The sequence below is a fragment of the Homo sapiens genome, chromosome 13 (genome assembly GCF_000001405.40).
Source record: "Homo sapiens chromosome 13, GRCh38.p14 Primary Assembly".
NCBI classification, from domain to species: domain Eukaryota; kingdom Metazoa; phylum Chordata; class Mammalia; order Primates; family Hominidae; genus Homo; species Homo sapiens.
The window spans coordinates 41,344,180-41,362,271 of record NC_000013.11 but is presented as its reverse complement, the minus strand read 5'-3'; the positions used below and the strand labels follow the sequence as shown (position 1 = coordinate 41,362,271).

At 38.8% G+C, this 18,092-nt stretch overlaps 1 protein-coding gene and 1 pseudogene across 7 annotated transcripts in view; one reads left to right on the top strand and one right to left on the bottom strand.

Annotated features, from left to right (window-relative positions):
• Window positions 1–18,092, bottom strand: part of NAA16 (N-alpha-acetyltransferase 16, NatA auxiliary subunit) — a 65,764-nt gene that overhangs the window by 14,759 nt on the left and 32,913 nt on the right. For 3 of the 7 annotated variants that reach the window (NM_024561.5, XM_011535228.3, XM_047430610.1), the window contains 4 exons: window positions 7,056–7,128; window positions 3,799–3,968; window positions 3,310–3,462; window positions 113–241 (listed from right to left, as the gene is read on the bottom strand). In NM_024561.5, the coding sequence (NP_078837.3) occupies window positions 113–241; window positions 3,310–3,462; window positions 3,799–3,968; window positions 7,056–7,128 (525 nt within the window). Of the gene's footprint in view, window positions 1–112; window positions 242–3,309; window positions 3,463–3,553; window positions 3,969–7,055; window positions 7,129–18,092 lie in introns of those variants that run through there. The other 4 variants (NM_001110798.2, NM_018527.4, XM_006719866.4 and 1 more) reach the window with 3 other exon arrangements.
• RNU6-57P (RNA, U6 small nuclear 57, pseudogene) lies at window positions 7,613–7,715 on the top strand (annotated as a pseudogene).

The following is an 18,092-nucleotide window of genomic DNA, read 5'->3' as shown; positions in this document are numbered from 1 at the left end:
TTCACAATGAAGCTCCCAGAGAAGTTAGAAGAGGCAGATGATCCTGTGTAGAAATCTACCTGCTTTTTATCACCTTACAGTGAAAACTGAAGTCGAAATTCTAACAACTTACCCTTTCTACTTCATGACATTTTTTCAAGGCATCCCCGTATCTCCCCAGACGCTGATAAGCTGAAATGCATTCTGTCTGAAACCACATACACTGCATTTCATTTAGATTTTCCATGGCAGATGTTCCTTCCTGAAATGGAAGCATTCAAAACTATAGAGAGCAAACAATGAAAGAGATCCTAAAAATCATTTCCTCTTTACAACTAGGGCTACAGTACTATTATGACAATAGCAGCAATTAGCAAATATATCAGTATGTTTCCAAACATGGTTTTATACTACAATAGTCTCTCCTTATCCAAGGTTTCACCTTCCATGGTTTCAGTTACCCACAGTCGACCATGGTCTAAAGATATTAAAGGGAAAATTGCAGAAATAAACAATTCATACGTTTTCAACTGCATGCCATTCTGAATACTGTGATAAAATCTTGCACCATCCCACTCTATCCCACCCGGAACGTGAATCATCCCTTTGTCTAGTACATCCACACTGTCTGCTACCTAACTGTCACTTAGGAGCCATCTCAGTTATCAGATGGAAAACCCACATATACATAACGTCTTATTTACCCAGCTCTGCTGGGGTAGTCAACACTCTTCATAAAAAAGACTCCAAATTACTAAATCTTAGTTTTTAAACACCAAAGTTTTTATTTCAACTATTTAAGAAAGCAGTCATATGAAGTACTGCCTATCTTCTGCCTTTCAAGCAAAAGCTATTTCAGCCTTCCTTGCTGACTCGGGGTCACTGTTACGTATATTCAGCATTTATCAAATCTGTTAGTAATAGCTGCAGGCCTGTTTTTTGGTTTCCCAGTGTCCCTCCTCCATTGTCACTTTCTTTGTGCCCATGTGTCTGCTTCTATCAGCATCACCTGTTTCATGACAACTCTTCTACTTTAATATTTCTCCTTTGCAGTGGGCTGACAAAACCAAATAACTGAATTTGTTAATTCAGGCTCAATAAAAATTCTGAGGGGAGTGTGAGACATAAATTAACGAATTTTAAGTGCAAGGATACTCAAGTTTTGTCACAGTTTAGAAGAGACATTTAAAATATATTTTATATGACCCCAGGAAAGGATGCAAAGATACACTTATATAAATGATTTCAGTCTACAGTTTTTCCTCACATTTTGTGTATCAGTTCAATTTTCAGAACACATTAAACGTCTAAAAACTAGTTATCTCTGGGTGAACAGAATTATTGATGTATTTTCTGTCTTCATTATGGTTGTGTTATATTTTCCATTTTGTTAATGGTCACATATTTTTATAAGAGGAAATCTATATTACTTTTCATTTCAAAAAGTTTATCAACTAGAACTATCCAACATGTATCAGCAACTTTGTACAAAAGTTCTAAACTGAAAAATCTGCGAGAAGGAAATATGCGCCCTTCACTCATTTATTAGTAAGCAGATATATCCTGATTATTCAGGGTCATTTGCAGTTTTCTTCCCCTGCCTCATTATGTTGTTCACCACATATTATGGATTTGCCTGGCCAACAAACTAGTGTGCATAAAGTGAACAAGCTTGCCATACAGCATGGCAACTTGTCAAAAGTGGATGATCAGAGGCAGTTATGATGAGCAAGCTGAGCCACAGATTTTGGTGACTATTCTCCTTAAATAACCAACTCCTCTCACCTTCTTTCTCATTCTCCTGTGCCTTTAAAGACGCATCCCAGTGTCACTGGGCTTTCTGTTTCTTAAAAATCACTGAACTTCTTTAAGTTTTGCATAGATTTAGTATCGCTTATCAGAATTGTCTGGAACCAGAAATGTTGCAAACCTTCTCAATTTTGGAATATTTGCATTATACTTAGTGGTTGAGCGATCCCAAACCCAAAAATCCAAAATCCAAAATGCTCCAATGAGCATTTCCTTTGACCATCATACCAGTGCTCAAAAAGTTTCAAGTTTTGGAGCATTTTGGAATTTGAATTTTAGATTTGGGATGCTCAACCTGTATACTTCATATTTAATTGCATTTTACTTCCTATCGCTACCTTGGCCTTCCATGTGGTACTTTTCTCTGAAAACATAATTGGTTTTATGTTTATTCCTTGTACTCTCTTCTTAATTTCAAACCTGTGATATAGTGGAAAGGGCATTGAAGACTTTGAACCTAGTGCTATTTACTATGTGGTAGCTGGGACTATAGGCACATGCCACCATGCCCACCTCAGTTTTTCTTTTATGCTTTATGCTTTTGGTGTCAAGAAATGCTTCCTACCTCAAGCATAAAGAATGCTTCTTTATCCTGAAGATAAACTCCTATATATTTTCTTCTATAAGTGTAAGGTTTGCTTTCCATATTTGATCTTTAATCCACTTGGAACTGATTCGTGTACAGTGAAATTTTCTATTATATTAGATTATATTATAATTAGTTTATCCTAAGCTCCTTTATATTTTCTTGTATAAGTGTGAAAGGTTTGCTTTCCATATCTGATCTTTAATCCACCTGGAACTGATTCGTGTACAGTGACAGAGAGGGATATTGGAGGCTTTTTCCCCAACAGGAGTAACTAATTGTCCCAGCAATATATTTTCATCTCTGATTTTTACAGTATCTCTGGGTATATCCCATTTTCCAAATATGTGTGAAATCTGTTTCTGAGCTTTCTACCCTGTTCCATTAGTCTACTTATATTTTTAACCATAAACATGTATTATAACAGAAAGTTTATGTGGAAAAGGATATAAAGGGATGGTGAAGGAGGGAAAAGGGATGGATGTGTAGCCCATCTCAGGAAACTTAAATTCTTGAATGTCACAGAGACTAGTTCAGAGCAATTAGTTCTACAAAGAAAGAACTCTATGAGCAAGTTAAAAGTAAGACAGAATTAAAAAGCAGTCACAAATTACTAGGGGGACAAAGGATTTGAGATATAAATCAAATTTTACACGTAAGTGCTAAAGTATAGCATACTCTTTATATATGTACCAAGATATTTTGCTCTTGCTATTGTTTTTTAACCATCCCCTGCCAGAAACATATACACAGATACACAACCACAGTAAGAAACCATTCTTAGGATATGGGTTAAATGGGATTTTAAAAAACAATAATAAAAATGAATTTTTATGAACTTCCACTGAAGTTCTTCACAAACTGTCTTAATTTAGACAAACTTCACAAACTGTCTTAATTTAGACAATTACATGCTCATGCATGCTATTTCCTACCCTTGTGAACTTGGAGCACATTTCCTCTGCTTCTTTTATCATATTTGCTCGAAGCATGTATTTTGCACATTTGGAATTGATGAATCTATCAGCTGTGTCCAAAGACTGTGCTTCATCCATCCACTTTGCAGCTTCTTTGAGATTACCTATATGCTATAAAAGATAATTAAAGGAACCACAATTTATAATCAAGAGAATATGAGTACAATAAAATGGAAAATAATTTACACAGACAAAAAAGAAATCTGTCACCATTTCTGTCAAATTTATTTAGAAATCAAAATTACAGTTCACATTTACTAAGAGCTCAAATGATTACACATCTAATTACACATTGATTATACAATTAATATAACATGAAACTACACAGGATTATTAGAAAAAGATTATCAGGGTGCCCTAGAACTTGTTTCCACAAAGAAAAAACTCCAAGGATTCTTAAAGTAGCTGAATTCTTCAACTACTCAAAAAACAGGATTCAGATTTTACCTTGTAAATTTTTGCTTTCATATAGAATAATTCTATTAGAGTTGGAGTACTAGCAATTGCAGCATTAATATAATCCAAAGCCAAAGAATACTGTCCAAGTTTATCAAAGTGCTGTGCCAGGAAATACTGAACCCAGAGTAGTGTTGTCGGGGGTTCCTTCTCCCCATTCTCTGCAATCAAACAAATATTAAATTATTATAGAAAGAATGTAAAGCAAATCACATATTTTCTCTCTCCTAATTCATAATGAAATGACTATTGCAATAATAATAAGCAAGAAAGACTCAGCAAAAACTACTAATTTCAAAAGAAAGAGGTATGACTTCATAAAGTTCAAAAAGTGGCAGCCATGTAGAGAAATAAGATTGTACTTTGACAGGCTTCTAACCCCAATCTCACTCCAAAGAAACAATGCTGGGGAAAAGATATACGTCAAACTAATTCTGTGAACTCTCAGCCTGAAAGCAAAAGGGCAGCAAGACCAGGAAAAGTCAAGGAAAAAAACTTGGCAAAGAGATTTCCTAACTACCACTGCAAGATTTCAGCAGAGGCAAGAACTGCCAAACTGCCATGGCTTACCATTTTCCAGGCCTCAATACTAAATCAGGGATACCCAAAGTTGAAGACTATGACCTATAGGAAGAAGATACACCTGACAAAGTAGAAACAACCCTACCATCTGACAAAAACCTAAGTAGAAAAAACACAGCCCAGTCCTCTTAAAAAAGCAGTCACATATATACACTTACCTGAGTTCTATCCTGTTCCCCATCCTGTACCCTCTAACTACAGAGGAGCAGAAAAGAAATATCAAGCTCTCAAAATGGATTTCAGAAGGGAAGACATACTTGTGTAAAAATGAGGAGGAAAGAGTGAATATACCCACACTACATCAAAACAAACAGGTTTCCTAGCATAGCTGATCAAATGACATGCAAACATACTATAGCACACATTAAAACACAAATAATAAAATAAAGGCAATGAGTTAAGCTTCTACTCTGTTCCTCTTATATAAACTATATTTCAAGGGAACCAAGTATTTGATGAAGGAAAGTTCTTTATAAGAAAAATTCCAGCTAACGAATGCAGAAATTATTAGAATCAACAAGGGATCTAGGCAATGATCTTCAATTGCTGAGAGGCCAATGAGGAATTTTTGTCTTGTTCTATCACCAACACTGGAGTGCAGTGGCATGATCATAACTAACTGTAGCCTGGAACTCCTAGGCTCCAGTGATCCTCATGCCTCAGCTTCACAAGTAGCTGGGACTACAGGTGAGAACCACCGAACGTGGCTAATATTTTAATTTTTTGTAGGGACAGGGTCTCACTTTGTTGCCCAGGCTGGCCTCCAAATCCTGGCTTCAAGAGATCTTTCTGCCTCAGCATCCCCAAAAGTGTTGGGATCACAGGTGTGGAGCCACCGTGCCCCCACGCCGTCATGGACCTTTTTAATGAGTATAACAGGCTGACAACATCTGAATCTTTATCAATCTTAACATCAAAAAAGAGAGAAAACCAGAATGTCTCAAGCTTCCTGACATGACACAACAGGAAGCACAAAGCACCACCCGTATTTAAACAGAACCTGAATCTAATCCAGCAAGTAAACCTAACTATAACTTACAAGTATGAATGACAGTGAAATACAGCAAATGATACCATGAGAAAGGCAATCAACCAAATCTAGAATATGGGATATGTAAGACAAATGACCTTTCAACAAATGACTGTTTTTTTGAAAGGGAGGGGAGAGTTATTGTTCTAGATTAAAATAATGAGACATAACCATCAACTTATGGAGATATAACAACCAATTATTTGGTGTGAACCTTAACTGGATCTATACTCAAATAAACCAAACACAAAGACTTCTTTTGGATAATGGGGGAAATGTGAATGCGGACTGGGTATCAGATATTATGTTATGAGGTTTTGTGTGACATGGCACTGCGATGACTTCTTCTGTTTACGTGTTTTAAATAGAGATGCACACTAAGATTGGGTATCAGATATTATGTTATGAGGTTTTGTGTGACATGGCACTGCGATGACTTCTTCTGTTTACGTGTTTTAAATAGAGATGCACACTAAGATATTTACAGATGAAACAGTAAGTCTGGAATGTGCCTTAAAAAAACTCATAGAGGGTGTGGCAGCTCACACCTGTAATCCCAGCACTTTCGGAGGCTGAGACAGGCAGATTGCTAGAGCTCAGGAGTTCAAGATCAGCCTGGACAACATGGCAAAATCCCACCTCTAGAAACCTCCCCCAAACCCCCGCGTGTGCGCGCGTATGCACACACACACACACGCACACAAAATCAGCTAGGCATGGTGGCACACGCCTGTAGTCCTTGCCACTCAGCAGGCTGAGGTGGGAGGATCACTTGAGCCCAGAAGTTCAGCTTGCGCAACACAGTGAGATCCCCTCTCTTAAAAAACATCAGAAAAATACTCAGAGTAATGACATGTAAGAGACACATAAGGAACCCGGAAGTTACTTTGTGCATGACTGAAAACATTCTAGTGTTTTCTAAAGTAACTTGCCTTGATTTATATATGCTCCTACAAATATAGAAACAAAGGACCAAACTAAAGAGGATTAAAAGTAATAAGAGGGTAGAAAAAGCAGAGAATTTAGGGATTCAGGAAAAACAGGTTCCAATATAAACTAACTACATGGTCTTAGGCAAGCCATTCAACCTCTCAAGTATGTTTCCTCATGTTAAAACAAGGTTAAGCCCAGGTGTGGTGGCTCACGCCTGTAATCCCAGCACTTTGGGAGGCTGAGGCGGGTGGATCACGAGGTCAGGTATTCGAGACCAGCCTGGCCAACATGGTGAAACCCCATCTCTACTAAAAATACAACACTTAGGCAGGAGTGGTGGCAGGCGCCTGTAATCCCAGCTACTCAGAAGGCTAAGGCAGGAGCATCAGTTGAACCCAGGAGGCGGAGGTTGCAGTGAGCCAAGACTGTGCCATTGTACTCCAGCCTGGGTGACAGGATGAGACTCCGTCTCAAAAAACAAACAAACAAACAAAAAAACCGCACAAGGTTAACTCCCATCTCATAGGATTATGGAAAATTTAAATTAAGTAAGATTGAAAGTGCTCTCATTTCATTCACCAATTTGAAAGCCATTTATTAAGTAGCCATTAGGTAGCACACACATAATATACATAAAAGAGCATTACTGTGATTAAAAATGAAATGAGTAATCAAATTCCAATTCAATCTAATTTAAACTTACCATATGGGCTAAAAAAGTCACACGTTTTAAGAGAGGCTTCATAATTAGTAACAAGTTCCTGGATTATAGAAACCTGTTAAAGAAACATATTTTTAAAATTTAAAAATATCTTCTTGAAGGTATTTTTACCTATTATGGTTTAAATTACATTTGGAAAATATACAGCTTATTTCAGAACTATAAATTAATTAAAAGACTAGGGTATCTGCTTTGTCCCCATTCCTAACATGAGTATTTCCCCGCTTTGGAGAAGGGGTGGAAAAAAACACAAAATAATGGACATTGCTATATATATGGACCACTCACAAGACAAAAAAAAAAAAAAAAAAATGGACCACTCCTATAAGGGACACATTATATAAATATTCAGATTTTCTAAAATGTCATGCATTGCAAAAAAGTGAAATGATTCAAGGTTTGAAAATAAGTGAAATTAAAAATGACTCTTTTGCTTATTATTGTTAGCAATCCTACAATATAATAATTGTATTGTACTTACTATAATTACGGGGTTTCTTAACCAATTTACTTATCTACCTACTACAAAATAAGGTCTGGTGCTCACTTCAGCAGCACGTATACCAAAATTGGAACAGTAAGAGATTGGCATGGCGCCTGTGAAAGGATGACACACACATTCATGAAGCGTTCTATATTTTAAAAGGAATATTTCTTCATTGTTTTGTGAAAACTGGGGCTTTGACATCTTTATTTTCAGAAAAACAATTATATTTCTCTTATTTCCCTACGCCTCTTTACAAACTAACCAAAATTCACTATGGTTCCCCTCACACTGAAGTGGTCATGTGTCACAAACTCAACAGATTTTTGCATATATGGCTACAAAAGAAACCTCTTCACGCATACCATTTAATATAAGAAGGTATAATTTAATTAGCTTTATTTTGAATCCGGATTACTCCTCATGCCACAAAGACACAGGACAGTGTCCATGAAACCACTGATCATCCTAGACACTAGTCAAAACACAAGGCCAAACTGTAACACTTTTCAGGCCTACATGATAGCTTTCTCACATGATGCTGCAGTATACGGCAGGATCTCTAGTAAAGTTCAATGGACAATGTGGAAATAAGGTAGGACTATACATTAACAGTAAGGAACATGTGTAAATAAGAGAAAAAGCAGAATGTGAAAAAAATTTACACATACTATGACTTCACTAAAACATGTATGTACAGACACCACATACTCAATGAAAATATGACCAGACATTAGGGTAGTAGAAAATGGGTACATTCTTTGTGTTTTCTTTTTTAAAAAACAAAGATTGTTTAATTTAAAAACAATGGTTCTGAAAGTGTTATCTTCAGATCATTAATAATACTGTTAAACATTAGTGTCACCATCATGTGGCAATTTGTTAGAAATATTCTGTACAATCTGTTTTGGGGTGTGTGTGTGTGTGTGTGTGTGTGTGTGTGTGTAAGAGACAGGGTCGCCCTCTGTCACCTAGGCTGGAGTGCAGTGGTGTGATAGTCGCTCACTGTAGCCTTGAACTCCTGTGCTCAAGCAATTGTCCCACCTCAGCCTCCCAAGCAACTAAGACTACAGGCATGTATTACCATGCCCTGATAATTTTTTTTTTTTTTTTTAAGAGACAAAGTCTCACTACATTGCCTAGGCTTGTCTGGAACTCCTGGGCTCAAGCAATCCTCCCGCCTCCACCTACCAAAGTGCTGGGATTACAGGTGTGAGCCACCATGCCTGGCCTGTACAGTCTGTTTTTAACAAGCCGTCTGTAAATTCTGATACACAATTAAGAGTTTGAGAACCACTGATAAAAAAAAAAATTGCAAAGACTTTTTTTTAAGCAAAATTAAAGTTAACAGACATTTTTAATCCACCATAACCTCTCCACCAATCTCACCTAGAATATCTGTAACTTAAAAACCTTTTTTACAAACTTAGAAATTTAGTACTCAAGTTGTTAAACTTATAAAGGCAAATAATTTTTTTTCAGGAACTTGCGCCATCTACTGGTAGTTGCTAAAACTGCAACCAGAGGTGGCTTTTAAAAGGGCGGACGTTTATGCATCTCTAGGGTGAAACCTATGTTTTGTTTTGTTTTGTTTTGTTTTGAGATGGAGTCTCGCTCTGTCACCAGGCTGGAATGCAGTGGCGCGATCTCTGCTCACCGCAACCTCCGCCTCTTGGGTTCAAGCAATTCTCTGCCTTAGCCTCCTGAGCAGCTGGGATTACAGGCACCCGCCACCACACCCGGCTAATTTTTCTATTTTTAGTAGAGATGAAGGGGTGAAACCTATTTTTAAAGAAGTCAGTTTTAACAATAAAGGGTACCACAAAACATACACTGAAGTTACATATAATCCTTCATAAAAGAATATAAATACTTCTGAATAAAACAGATCTCCAGATTCAGAACTTCAAAACAAGATCTGATTACGGGGGAAAAAAGGTAATGGAAAATTCATAGGATATCTCCTACATTTAAAAAAACAACAAAGGGGACTGACCGTTGCGGTTCATTAGGCATACTTCTTGAATATATTTTATATATACATAAATTTTTGTTTTTTTGAGACCAAGTCTCACTCTGTTGCCTAGGCTGGAGTACAGTGGTGTGATCTCAGCTCACTGCAACCTCTGCCTCCCAGGTTCAAGCAATTCTCCTGCCTCAGCCTCCTGAGTAGCTGGAACTAAAGGTGTGCACCACCATGCCTGGCTAATTTTTGTATTTTTAGTAGGGAGGGGGTTTCGTCATGTTGGCCAGGCTGGTCTCCAACTCCTGACCTCAGGTGACCCGCCCACCTAGGCCTCCCAAAGTGCTGAGATTACAGGCATGAGCCACTGTGCCAAGCCAAAATTTATAGTTACTTTATTTTTATTTTTTGAGACGGGGTCTCACTCTCTCACCCAAGCTGGAGTGCAGTGGTGTGAACTCGGCTGCCTGCAACCTCCACCTCCCAGGCTCAAGCCATCCTCCTGCCTCAGCCTCCTGAGTAGCTGGGACTACAGGCATGCACCACCACACCTGGCTAATTTTTGTATTTTTTGTAGAGACGGGGTTTTGCCCTGTTGCCCGGGCTGGTCTCAAACTCCTGAGCGCAAGCGATCTGCCCACCTTAGCCTCCTAAAGTGCTAGGATTACACGCATGAGCCACCAGCCCTGGCCTTATGGTTACTTCTCATTCAGTAATTAAGTGAACAATTTTCTAAATTTTCTATGAAAGTTAATCTAAGAAGTTTTACTCAAGTATAAGACTTATTTCGCTCAAGTTTACTTACCATTTATATTTAATTAGGTAGTGTGTAATATGACAAATTAATATGTAATAGCTATTCTTCTTTAAAATGGTGTTTTGCCTCCATTATTTTAAAGTCAAGAAAGCCAATCCACTTAAGTATCTGAGATCGCAACAAAAACATAAATGGCCACCTTAAATTTTATGGCCCCACATTTTTCTTACAATGTGAAAAATTTTCCAAGTTCAGCCACCTTCTCCTGGTTTACTTTCTTCTAACAGCTACATTAGATCAAGATGGAAGAAGCTTTTTATCTTTGTTAATAAAATCTAACCTAAGATAATACCATAACTGTTATAATTTCCTAAAGTATGTCCTTGGTGACCAGCTTTTCTTATGTAAGAGTTAAAAGAACTCTTCATTAACCTTAAAGACAAAGTCCCACAACATCATAACCGATACACATTTTTTTCGCAATGAAGAGACAAATCACAGGTTTAAAATGTCACTGCAATATGAAAGTTACTAAATTAAGTACACTACTTTACCAGCAAGGACCAAAATTGCTGAATTAGGTTCTGATATAAGCACAATTACTAGTGATAATTTTGGTGCTGAAGGGGCTAGTTACAGAGGTAAACTGTCCAAGAACAATGACAATAAAATAAAAGTAACTACAGAGATGAGGTGTGAGAAGGGTGGGACTTACCATCTAATTTAGAGAGTAAGGGAAAATTACCATTTCTTGAACATATTCAAACCAAGTACTTTACAAACTTTATTATTTAATTAAAACACACACCAATGCTTTACGTATTATTTTCCCCAACTTTATGAAAATACAAATATTCATATTCAAAGCACACGAGCACTGATGTCCAACTTCAATGGAATCAAAGTGTACCAGCCTAGGCAAACCTGGATGTTGACTCATTGAACGTCTTCACTTAAGAGCCTGACACTCACAAACTAATGGCTAAAAAACAAGTACTTTCTAACAGTGAATATGGAAGTCCCAAATCAATGTACACCTCTTCTTAGAGCCTTCAAACATTTTGGGGCTGGGTGCAGTGGCTCATGCCTATAATAATCCCACAGCACTTTCGGGGGCTGAGGCAGGCAGATCACTTAAGCCCAGGAGCCCAAGACCAGCCTGGGCAACATGGTAAAACCCCATCTCTACAAAAAAATACAACAAAAGTTAGCTGGGTGTAGTGGCCCGTGCCTGGAGTCCCAGCTACTTGGGAGGCTAAGGCAGGAGAATCGCTTGAGCCCAGGAGGTGGAGATTGCAGTGAACCAAGATTGCGCCATTGTGCTCCAGCCTGGGCAACGGGAGTGAAACTCTTATCTTAAAAAAAACAAACAAACAAAAAAAAAAAACAAAAAAAAACTGGCAGGGCGCGGTGGCTCAAGCCTGTAATCCCAGCACTTTGGGAGGCCGAGGCGGGTGGATCATGAGGTCAGGAGATCGAGACCATCCTGGCTAACACGGTGAAACCCCATCTCTACTAAAAAATACAAAAAAACTTAGCCAGGTATGGTGGCGGGCGCCTGTAGTCCCAGCTACTCCGGAGGCTGAAGCAGGAGAATGGCGTGAACCCGGGAGGTGGAGCTTGCAGTGAGCCGAGATCACACCACTGCACTCCAGCCTGGGGGACAGAGCGAGACTCCGTCTCAAAAAAAAAAAAAACAAAACTGATTTCCTTTTTTGGCCAGGGAAGTGGGGAGACAGGGTCTCGCTGTGTTACCCAGGCTGGAGTGCAGTGATGCAGTCTAAGTTCACTGCAGCCTTCAACCTTCCAGGCTCAAGTGGTTCTCCCACCTCAGCCTTCCAAGTATCTAGAATGCGCCACTGTACTTGGCTGATTTTTGTATTTTTTTGTAGAGACACTGCCTCACTACATTGCCCAGGCTGAGCTCAAGCAATCCTCCTGCCTTGGACTCCCAAAGTGCTGGGATAAAAGACGTGAGCCACCACGGTGGCCTGGCACATTTTGGTTTCATGTTTGACTTTTTTTTTTTTTTTTGAGACGGAGTCTCGCTCTGTCACCCAGGCTGGAATGCAATGGTGCGATCTCAGCTCACTGCAACTGCCCCCTCCCGGGTTCAAGCGATTCTCCTGCCTCAGCCTCCCAAGTAGCTGGGATTATTCCACCACGCCCAGCTAACTTTTTTTTGTATTTTTAGTAGATTTAGGGTTTCACCATGTTGGTCAGGCTGGTCATGAACTCCTGACCTCAGGTAATCTACCCACCTCGGCCTCCCCAAGGGTTGGTATTACAGGCGTGAGCCACCACACCCGGCCACGTATGACATTTTAAAAAGTATACAGACTGTTACCTTTAGTTGAACAAAAATTAAACCAAATTAAACTAATTTTACTAATTATCTTTTGGAATAAATACAGATTTTTATCCTTCAAGAAAACCTGTTTTTCCTCACTAAATCAGCAAAATAAAAGACAAACATATGTAACACATAGCACACATAAGAAAAAAAAAGAAAGGACCAGGCACAGTGGCTCGTGCCCATAATCCCAGCACTTTGGGATGCCTAAGTGAGAGGATCACTTAGGCCATGAGTTTGAGACCAGCCTGGGCAACACAGCAAGATCCATCTTTACAAAATAAACAACTTAGCCAGGCATGGTGGTACATGCCTGTAGTCCCAGCTACTTGGGAGGCTGAGGTAGTAGGATCACTTGAGCCCAAGGGTTTGATGCTACAATGAGTTACAATCTCACCACTACACTCCAGCCTGGGTGATAGAGCAAGACCCAGTCTCTAAACAAAGATTTAAAAAAGAAAAAGAAAAAAAAATTAGAAAAAAGACCAAATTAAACCTAAAACAAGCAAAAGGACACAATAAAGTGAAAATTAATGAAATAGAGGAGGAAAGTCAACAAACCCAAAACCTGGCTCTTTAGATCAAGAAAATTGGCAAACCTTTAGCTAGACTGACAAAGTAAAAAATAGAGAACACTCAAAATATTAAAACCAAAAACAGTAAGAGGGGATATTACCACTGACTTTATAGAAATAACAGACTATGACACGCATATGCCAATGCTGTATAACATAGACGAAATAGACAAATATCTAAAACCATGAATTTCCAAAAGCCAGTCAAGAAGAAATAGAAAATCTGAATAAACCAGTAATGAAGAGTTTGAATACATAATAAAAAACTACCCACAAAGAAAAGTCCAGGCCCATATGACTTCACTGGTAAATGGTAAGTTCTACCACACATTTAAAGAAATAATAATACCAATTCTTCACAAACTCTTCCCGCCCCCCCAAAAAAAGAGGAGAGAACATTTCCCAATTCATTATGAGGCCAGTATCACCCTGATAGCAAAATCTGATAAAGACATGAAAAGAAAACTAGACCTTTATCTCTTAGGAATATAAATGCAATATCCTAAACAAAACACTAGCAAATCGAACCCATCAATATGGAAAAAGAATTACCCACCATGACCAAGTAGGCTTTCACCCAGCAATGCAAGACTGGTTTAACATCAGCCAGGAGTGGTGGCTCACACCTGTAATCCCAGCACTTTGAAAGGTGGGTGCATCACCTGAGGTCAGGAGTTCAAGACCAGCCTGTGCAACATAGTGAAATCCCGTTTCTACTAAAAAATAGAAGAACTGGCTGGGTATGGTGGTGCACGCCGGTAGTCCCAGCTACTTGGGAGACCGAGGCAGGAGAATAGCTTGAACCCGCGAGGTGGAGGTTGCAGTGAGCCGAGATTGTGCCACTGCACTCCAGCCCGGGTGACAGAGTGAGATTGCATCTTGAAAAAAAAAATAAAAATTGGTTTAACATCTGAAATCAATTAATGTAAATATACCATATATCAATAGATTTTTTTTAAAAAAAAACCTACATAATCATCTTAACACAGAAAAAGCATGTGACAGAACTCAGTAACAGACTTTCGTGATAAAAATGCACAATAAACTAGGAGTTGAAGGGAACTTCCTTGACATTACAAAGGACATATATGAAAAACCCACAGCTAACACAGTACTTAATGGTGAAAAATCTAGATGCTTTTCCTCTAAGAGCAGGAACAAGACAAAGAACTCTCACCACTTCCAGTCAATATTGTACTGAAGGTACCCAGGGCAATTAGTCAAGAAAATGAAATAAAAAGGGTATGGATTGGAAAGAAAGAAGTAAAACGATCTATTTGCAGATGACATGATGTTGCACATAGAAAATCCTAAGGAATCTATTAAAACATCTATAGCAACGAATAAACAAGTTCAGCAAGGTTTCAGAAGACAAAATCAACATACAAAAATCAACTGTATTTCCATATACTAGCAAAGAATAATCCAAAAATGAAATTATAAAAACAATTTCATCTAGACTACCATCAAAAAGAATGGCATGCTTAGGAACAAATTTAACATAAGATGCACAAGACTTGTACAATAATTACAAAACATTGGTTGAAAGAAATCAAAGACCTAAATACAAAGAAAGACATCCCATGTTCGAAGATTGACTTAATATTGTTAAGTTGAGGATACTTCCAAAATGATCTGCAGATTCAACAAAATCCCTATCAAAATCCCAGATGGCTGCTTTGCAGAAATAGAAAAGCCAATCCTAAAATTCAAATGGAAATAAAAGGAACCCTGAATAACCAAAATAGTCTTGAAAAACAAACATAATAAAAAAATAGTCTTGAAGAACAAAGTAGGAGGAGTCACACTTCCTGATTTCTTTTTTTGTTTTTGTTTTTGTTTTTTTTTTTTTGAGACGGAGTCTCGCTCTGTCGCCACGCTGGAGTGTAGTGGCTCAATCTCGGCTCACTGCAAACTCCGCCTCCTGGGTTCAAGTGATTCTCCTGCCTCAGCCTCCCGAGCAGCTGGGAGTGTAGATGCCTGCCACCACGCCAGCTAATTTTTGTATTTTTAGTAGAGATGGGGTTTCACCATGTTGGCCAGGATGGTCTTGATCTCTTGACCTCGTGATCCACCCACCTCAGCCTCCCAAAGTGCTGGGATTACAGGCGTGAGCCACCGCGCCCGGCTCACACTTCCTAATTTCAAAACTTACCACACTGCTACAGTAAGCAAGACAGTATGGCACTGGCACAGATGGACTTTTAGCTTTTCTTGTATACTGATGTTTAACATGTTAAAGAACCTTTCTAGCTATTTGAGAAACTGTCCCTCCAAGGTCTAGCCAATTCTTAAAGATAACAAAGGGCCCAGCTAGGAGTATGTCTTTAATATGCAAGCTATTCAAAATCCAGAGCCATATCTCCTCTATCTGGCCCTTATACCCCAAGAGGCACTACTCCTCTACCTAATCATCCCAGAGCCAGGTGCCAGGCAACGAGACCACCCCGCCAGTCTAAAGTATGCCAAAATTATTCAAACTAAACTGTTCGCCCTGCCCTACCCTAAGGAAACCTCGATGAAGGCAGTAGCCTAATCCTTCCCCTCCCTCCTAACCACCCTAGCGTCTTCCCCAAGTGGCCCAGCATGGCATGGCACAGCATGCCTCGTCTCTAGGACCTGTGTGATAAACTGTGTTTTTTCCTGAGCCTCTCCAGTGTCTCCTATTGTGGCTGCACCTGAATAACAATCTCATAAAAGAATAATAGAAAACAATAAAGACAGTCATACACATCAGTGGAACAGACTTGAGAGTCCAGAGGTGAACCCTCGCATTTATGGTTAATCTTTTTTAGACAAGGCTGCCAAGATCGTTCAACAGGGAAAGAAGAGTCTCTTCAACGAATGGTGCTGGAAAACTGGATAGTCACACACAAAAGAATGAATCTGGACTCCTACCACACCATATACAAAATGAACTCAGAGTGAATGCCTCAATGCAAACTCTTACAAGTAAACATGTTTATAAATCTTCATGACGTTGGACTTGGAAATGGTTTTTAGATAAGACCAGAAAGCATGAGTAACAAAAGGAAAAAAAAGATAAGCTGGACTTCATCCAAATTAAAAATTTTTAGTGCATCAAATGACACCATTAAGAAAATGAAAAGACAACCCGTAGCAGAACAGAAAATATTTTCACATAATGTATCTGATGAGAGACTTGTATCTAGAATATATTTTTAAAACTTCTGGCCCGGCGTGCTGGCTCACGCCTGTAATCCCAACACTTTGGAAGGGTGAGGCGAACAGATTGCTTGAGTCCAGGAATTTAAGACCAGCCTGGGCAAATGGTGAAACCCTGTCTCTATAAAAAATGAGCCAGGCACGGTAGCGCATGCCTGTAGTCCCAGATACTCAGGAAGTGGAGGTGGGAGGATCACCTGAGCCCAGGAGGTCAAGGTTGCAGTGAGGTGAGATCGCACCACTGTACTCCAGCCTGGGTGACAAGAGTGAGACCTTGCCTCAAAAACACAAACAACGAAAAAACCTAAAAAAACCCCACAAAAACAAAACTTCCTTAAACTGAACAATAAAAAGAGAAATAACCCAATCTAAAAATGGGCAAAGAAAATTAATGACATTTCCCCAAAGAACATATACAAAGGCCAATAAGCACATAAAAGATAATACCAACGGTAATCAGGAAATGCAAAGCAAAACCTCAAGAAATTACCATTTCACACCCACTATGATGGCTATCATCAATAATAACAAGTGTTAATGAGGATGTGCAGAAATCAGAACCCTCATATACTGCTTGTGAGAATGTAAAATGGTGGAGGAACTTTGGAAAAAGAGTCTGACAGTTCCTTAAAAGTTTAAACATAGAGTTACCATTTGACTCAGCAATTCCATTCCCAGATACACACCTAAGAGAAATGGAAGCATGTCTACACAAAAACTTGTACACCAAAGTTCACAGCAGCATTATTCAAAATAACCAAAAGGTAGAAACAATCAATGTGGTATATCCATAAAATGGAATGTTACATGGTCATAAAAGGGAATGAAGTACTGATTCATGCTACAATTGCGGATAAAAATATTAAGTAAAAGAAGCCAGACCCAAAAAGACTATATATTAGATAAGTCCATTTATATAAAAGGTCCAGACTGGGAAATCCATAGACAGAAAGTAGGCTAATGGTTGCCTATAGCTGAGAGGGACGTGAAGGTTGTGAGAGAATTACAGCTAAAGGATATGGAGTCTCTTTGGGGGATGACAAAACATTACATTGCAGTGATGATTGCACAACTCTGTGAATATACATTGAACTGTATACTTTTAATAGGTAAATTTTATGATATATTAATTATATCTCAATAAAGCTGTTACCAAAACAAAAATAGGTGGGGAAGCTACTGACATCTCGATGGTAGAGGCCAGGGAGTTTGCTAAACATCCTACAATGCATAGGACAGCCCTACATTACAAAGAATTATCTAGCCCAACACGTCAACAGTAGAATCCTTTGTTAGGAAGGCTGTCCTGTACCTTGTGGAATGTTTAGCAGCATCCCTGGCCTCCACACACTGGATGCCAGTAGCACACCTCACCTCACTGCAGCGACAATCAAAAACCTCTCCAGACATCGTAAAATGTCCCAAGGGGAAAAAATCCACTCCCCAACACCCTCATTAAGAAGTACTGCTCTAAAGAGGACTTTCCAAGATGGTTTTAAAACAACAGATGAACTTCCACAACAGAAATAAAAATCACCAAATCTGGTTCCACTAAATTTTTAACATTTCCATGTGAAAACAAAAACAGAAAAACAAACACAAGACAGGAAATATTTCAGGCACACTGCTAGTGGCAATACAAATTGATGTTTACAACCTTGTGAAAAACGAATTTATCTGTGTTTATCAAGAACCACAAAA